The following is a 6,679-nucleotide window of genomic DNA, read 5'->3' as shown; positions in this document are numbered from 1 at the left end:
TGGAATCCCCTGTCTACACCCATGGCAGCATCACTCAGCCGTCCTGGGATACTTGTTATCAATGCTGCCTTTGAATCTTCAAGACAATAGTCTGTAATATTCCATTTGTCAATCTGAATTCTCACAATATTTGAAATCCATTTGCTATCCTATCCCTAGATGACCACATTATTACCTGTTGTCATTCATGTCTGAGCCAGGCATTGGTTCCAGTTTTCCACAGTGGTAAATGAACTTTATGATGACCTTTGACTCTGGTTATAGACTTAGTCAGCTAGTAGTATTTCTTGTGGGGAGTTCAATCATTAGTGTATGTGTCAATCTAACTGCACATGGTGGTAGCTCTTGGGGTCTCAGTAAATGGCAGCTATTTAGGAAAATAGTTAGGTCTAGCATATTACATTGTGGCAGAAAAACAGGAAGAGAAAAATAAGCAAAGTGAAGAAAAAAGAAGGGGAAAGGCAGACCCAATCATCATTCATTGTTGCAAATGGAAATGTCTGGAGAATGGTAGAAACAAAAAGAGATGTGTGTGTGTGTGTGTGTGTGTGTGTGTGTGTGTGAGATTCTACTCAAGCTGCTTGGGCTCCTTCATGCATTAAAGGATGTTCTTTAGTTTGGCATAAGAAAGGGGTCTTTTATTCTATCAATAATTGCTAGTGTTCAATAATTATTGCATAATTTATTCAACATCTTTCTCTTAAGTTTACTCATATGTCTATGACTTTGTGGCTTACCACGAACCTCTTATGACACAATTGTATAATTACCATGTTTATATTTTATATAAATGTGATTTACCTGTATTGAAATAGTGTGACATAGACCATAAAAAACTCCAACTTTGTGCAAAACCATTCTCATCTTAAAAATTAAATTCAAATACTAATTTGATCTCATAGCTGGTTGTGTAAATTGTAAATATGTCTTTTCAAGTGGAATTACCCTCTTTAGCTGGTAAATATAAAACCTAGTTTATCAGGCTAAGTCTTGAATTGGGTGAGTTTTGAGTTATTTAAAGCCTTTAGGAACACAACTCTAGCATAAAGTGGAGTACCCTGAAAATCAGTGTACTGAATGGAGTTTCAACATGTGAATAACTAAAGATAGGTAACATATCTCAAGAAGCCTGAAAAACTATTAACTGTATAAAATATTCTGAGCCCAAAGGGACTCAGATAGATAATGATGAACATGGGATCTATAGCAATGAGCAATCTCATAGTATCTTCCCTAACTACCTAGAAAAACTAAAATATCACAGAAGAAAAGACACTATGCTTTATTGCTAACTGAACCAATAACCAAAGTTTGTGTCTGTAGTTCAAGGACTTTGCAATCACTTACTAAAATACATCTGACAGCAGATAGAGGATAGTTATGGGCATTTACTGACTCTAAGCCTGATTAATTATGGCAAAACATAATCTCGATTTTCCACTGCAGAGAAATTTATGAAATAATTTTACTGATGATTATTTGGATTATGACAACAAAAGACATAACTCTAGTCTCGTCAAACTGTCTGGAATGTAAACATAGAGATTGTGGAGAAAAGATAGATATAATGAACATCAGCTAATCCCTTGACTGAGAATTTTAAAATTGGCTTCAATTTATATTCCACAGATATTTTTATTGAGAATTAAGCTAAGTTTTGTTACCGTCTCACACTCAATCTATTTGGAAATTGCTGATGGCTTCTTAGAGCCTTTCAAAATTAGTTGTTCTGTTGGCTCAATTTATTAAAAAATTGAATACAATAGAATGTTGAGCAAATCTTCCTAGACCAGTGTTACTTGGGATAAAAAATAAAATTGATCTGCCAGATATTAAAATCCATGGGATGTTACAAACTCAGGAAATGCAAATACACCATGCGTGTGCTGTAACTCCCTATCCCAATGTCCAGGGCAAACATGACTGTGCTGTGAATTTTGGTTCACAAATCTTGAAGGAAGTATGTCATAACTTTTTCATTCTGAAAGTTAATTTGCTACTTCTTTAAAAAGAGTATTCAAATAATTAATGGAACATTCTTATATTTTGGAGTTATTTTCATTCTTTCTGAATTTTCCTTAGTTTAACTGATTATGTTCAAATCCATGCACCGTAGTAGGCCAATGTTTCTCAAGGTGTGATTCCTAGATCGACAGCAATTTTTTTTAACACGCAAAGTGTTGGGCTCCACCTCAGATCTACAAAACTAACAGTTCTGGGGCTGGGGCCCACCAGTCTGTCTTAACAAGCCGTTCAGGTGATGCGGGTGCCCACTGGGCTTTGAGGGTATTAATATGGGTGGTAGCCAATTACATAGAAGTATTTAATTTTTATGTGCTAAAGTTAAAGTTCAACTCAATTTTGAAATTAAGGCTTTATTTACAATACACGTCAACTCAGATGTCATCTGGTGCCCTTTCTTGGGAAGATAAAGAGCTTATTTCAGATAGAGCCTTATCCTTTACTGTAGAATTATCAACACGACCATAACTATACTTTCTCAGTTGGACAGCTTTATAAAAATGTTTAATTAACATGTCATAATGTGTGATTAGCATTTTGCATATGACAGGTACTGTTCTAAAGTATTTACATATTTGAACTCATTTTTATCTTCATGACTTCACAGGTATTAGTACTCTATTGTATTTATGTATCTATATCAGACAATATTTTATCACAGTAAATGAGGTATTCCTATACATTAAAGAAAAAGGTAAGAAATATCGATTTGTTTAGAAATAGGTAATATAAATAATTCAGACATTATTTCCCTCTCTTTCTACCGGTATTTAAAATGTTAAACTAGAAAACTGGTTGTTAAGTCCTAAGTATTATAACAAGATTATTTTATCATACTTTGTTAACGTTTGAAAAACACTTACCCCTTCTAAATTAGGAAAAAAAAAACTATATAATTTACAAAAACTTACATCAAAGAAAGTCAATAATTATTATAATAAGGCCACAATTTAGAAGTGAAAGAAGGAGTGTAAACTAAGTAATACATACATAATACATGCTAAAGCTTGAAAACTGCCTTTGAGGAAAAAATATCTTGACTGTAGGATGCTTTCTGTAAGGCAGTTTATATTACTTTGAAACACTTCCATCTAGTGGTTGAGATTTTAACTACATCTTTTATTAAAACAGTATGCTTTTTATTATTACTATTATTATTATCCACTGTTTAATCAAAAAAAGTGTTGGAAATTTAAAATTTTATTTTAAAGCATAGTTGATTCTCATACTCTATGCAAGAATTCACATTTTTTATAATATGAACATTTTTCCTATGAAATTATAGTCATATATTATAAACATTTTAATTCATTATAATTATTCAAATGCATATTGTACTGCAGTTAACTTCATTGTTTTTAAGATACTGACATTTAGCAAAGAAATTTTTTGTACTGATTCTTATAACTGGAATTACTGATTTACATGTCATGTTATTGTTTTATAAAACATTAATAATGACTTTCTTTCCCTAAAAGGAAAAAAGAAAGGGCTTGGCATCAGCTGTAAAAGAAAAATCTTTTTTTTTTTTTGGCAGTTTGATCAGTTCTGCTGTGAGCAGCTTTATGTGTTTATGCACTATACAAGGCTTTTTGGTGGAGGCAACTGTATATTCTAAATATATGAGTATTTTTTAAAAACTCGAGCCAATAGGTTTTGATAAGATTAATTTGGCTTTTTCTTATTATGATTTATTGTATTTTTCCATTTAGTGCTTTAGTTCATTCATCTACCTAAAAATTTAGCATCTGTTATATTCTGGAGCCAATTCTAGGTATGAAAGCAGTGAGCAAGACAAAGTCATTCTCATAGAGCTTAAATTGTAATAAGAACAGAGAAGAAAAAAAATAAGAATACAAATTCATGTAGTAATGATTGCTATGAAGAAATTAAAAGGAATAATATCACAGAGCCTGGCTATTTTAGAGTTGGTAATTAGAAATGTCTTCTCTGACGTAGTGACCTTCAAACAGAGACTTAAATGGTGATAAGTGAGCTCACACAAAATTTGGGGAAAGATTCCAGGCAGAAGGAACAGCAATTGCAAGTGCCCTGAGGCAAGAAAGAGATTTGGTGGGCTCTGGAAATACATAGAAGGGCAGCGTGGCACAAGCTTTGCTTTTGGGGGAAGAATATATGAGCCAAGGTCATAAGGTAGGCAGAGCTAGCTAATATACAGCCATGTGGTTAGACATTTGGGATTGTGGCTAAATTTACTGAGAAACCACTAATACAATCTGACTTATATTTACAGATTTCCCTGGTATTGTTTTATAGGTTGGAGAAAGGGACAAGAATGAAGGAAGGCTAGTAACAGGAAAAAGATTCCTTTGGCTTAGCCCAGGATGGTAGCAATGACTGTGGAGAAAAATGAATAGATTTAAACTGTATTTTGGAGTTAGCACTGTAAGAGACTATGGGTTGGTTGTAGGACAATGAGGAAAGAGTGGATTCAAGAATGATCCTAAAGCTTTTGGCTTGAGTTACTGGGTGGATGGTGGAGTCATTTATTAAGATGAAAAACACAAGGGGTAAGAACAGTTTTTGGGGTGCAGATAGAGACTTCTTTCATGCATCTAGACTGACATTCTCTCAAATGTATTAATTATTTTGAATATCTCTCCTTGTGACTTTTATTCTTTTATTTAGTAAACATTTAATAAATGCCCAGCAGATACAAGACATTGTGCTAGGCAGATGGTATTTCCAGTGAAAATGAAGGTGCATCTCCTGCCCTCATAAAACTTTTAGACTAATAGGATAAATAGAGATGGTAATCAAATAACCATGTAATAAAAGTAAAACTTCAGCAGTGGTCCATGCTAAAAATCAAAGGTACATAACACCATGACACATTAAAATAAGATGATTTCATCTAGTTATGGAAGTTTTCCCTGGAGAAATGATATTAAACTTGAAAGCAGATCAGTGATTTTGTGAAGGAGAAGAAATTTAAAGGTTTCTCAGGACAGGAAGGAATGAGAAAATACCTGGAACTGATAAAACACACATCTTAGTCTGGATTCCTTAACAGCAGAGCCTGCAGGAATCAGTACACGGGCTACTCATTTATTAGGGAGTGCAATCCTAGGTAGCAGGCATGAGGCCGAAGGCAGCGTGAGACAAGGGAGCAGGGAGAACCAATAGAAGATACGTTATTGAGTTGGCCACTGTTGAATGCCAATGATTGCTCTGTCCCATGGGACCATTTGGTATAAGAGAGAAGGGAGGGGACACAGGACAAGAGAGAAGGTTGGCATTTATCGACCAGCTCCATTCTCCCATTGGATAAATGTTTGCCCCACAAGGTGTTAACCCTTCCATGCTTCCAGGTTGAGCATGAATGGGCACCAGACAGTCTCACAGCATCTCATGCCATAGTGCAAGGGTGCATCATGAACACTGCAGCTAGTTGCAAGCTGACTTGCAGTTAGTCAGCTTTGGTCCATGCAGAACTGTTCACTCCAGCAGTGGCTAGATGAACCTTACAGAATCTGAAGCATGCAAAAGACTTGTTTAATACAATCATCAGGACTGGAATGGAGAAAGGGAAAAAAAAGAACCAGAAATTAAGGGACTTGGAAGCTAAGTAGGGATCTGACCATGGAGGACATTGGAAGCCAATTATAGATTTTTGTTTTTATCTTAGAAGAAATGGAAAGCTATTTGTTGTTGTTGTTCTTCAAAGTAAGGAAACAGCGCGAACAGAACTGCACCTCATAAATCACCCTGCCTGCATAGTGGATAAGAGACTGGAGGGGAGCCAGTCAACACAGAAAGACCACTCAGCATAAAAGAGGTCTGAGTACAGACAAGTGGGCAGATCCAGGAGATACTTAGGAGAAAACATCAACAGAATTTTTTGATGGATTGAGCACAGGAGTTGAAAGAGAAAGCTCAAGTATGAAGGACAATGTCTAGGTTTTTGTCTTGAGTGGTTGGATGGATTACTGCTGTCATTCACTGAATAGCACAGTGGGGGAAAAAAGGGTTTGAAACGTGGAAATTATGCTTTTACTTTTGAAACATTGAGTCTGAAATTGTCTACATCAGAGAGCTGCCAAGTAAAATGTCACATGTAAAAGCCTCGGATCTGAGGAGAGAACTGGGCTAAAAATGACTTGAAGTCATCTGTCTGCCCATGGCAATCAAAGTCTTAAATGGACCAGACACCTTAGGAAAGCATTGGAGTGGGAAAGCGAACTAAGGTTGAGTCTGCAAAGAACTCCAGGGTCCAGCAAGTTTTGACGCCATATTCTCCCAAGGATTTTCAATGCAGCAAATGTATCCATTTAATTATGCTTGCCAACATTCCCAAAATAATTTGGTCAAACATAATGTTTTCCACAGAATCAGCGATTCAAGAGAACTATTTTGGGAACAATTTATATAGATGATCACGTCGGAAAATATTTAATGTTTCATTTTGTTATAAATAGACCAATCAATGAAAGATTTTTTCCACCTGTTAAAAGAATTTATGCATTTCAGTTGCAGTGCATTATATTATTTCTTTCAGGTAACGTGGGAATTTCCATATTTTATCCTTTCTTTACTCATGTATATATATATTATTGCATCACATTGTAAGTGATGTGAGGATAATAAAACCCTCATTGTATTAACATATGCTAAAATACTAAAATAAGGCCCTTGA

This window comes from Homo sapiens, chromosome 3, assembly GCF_000001405.40.
Source record: "Homo sapiens chromosome 3, GRCh38.p14 Primary Assembly".
In the NCBI taxonomy this organism is placed as follows: Eukaryota; Metazoa; Chordata; class Mammalia; order Primates; family Hominidae; genus Homo; species Homo sapiens.
This window is presented reverse-complemented; position numbering follows the sequence as displayed.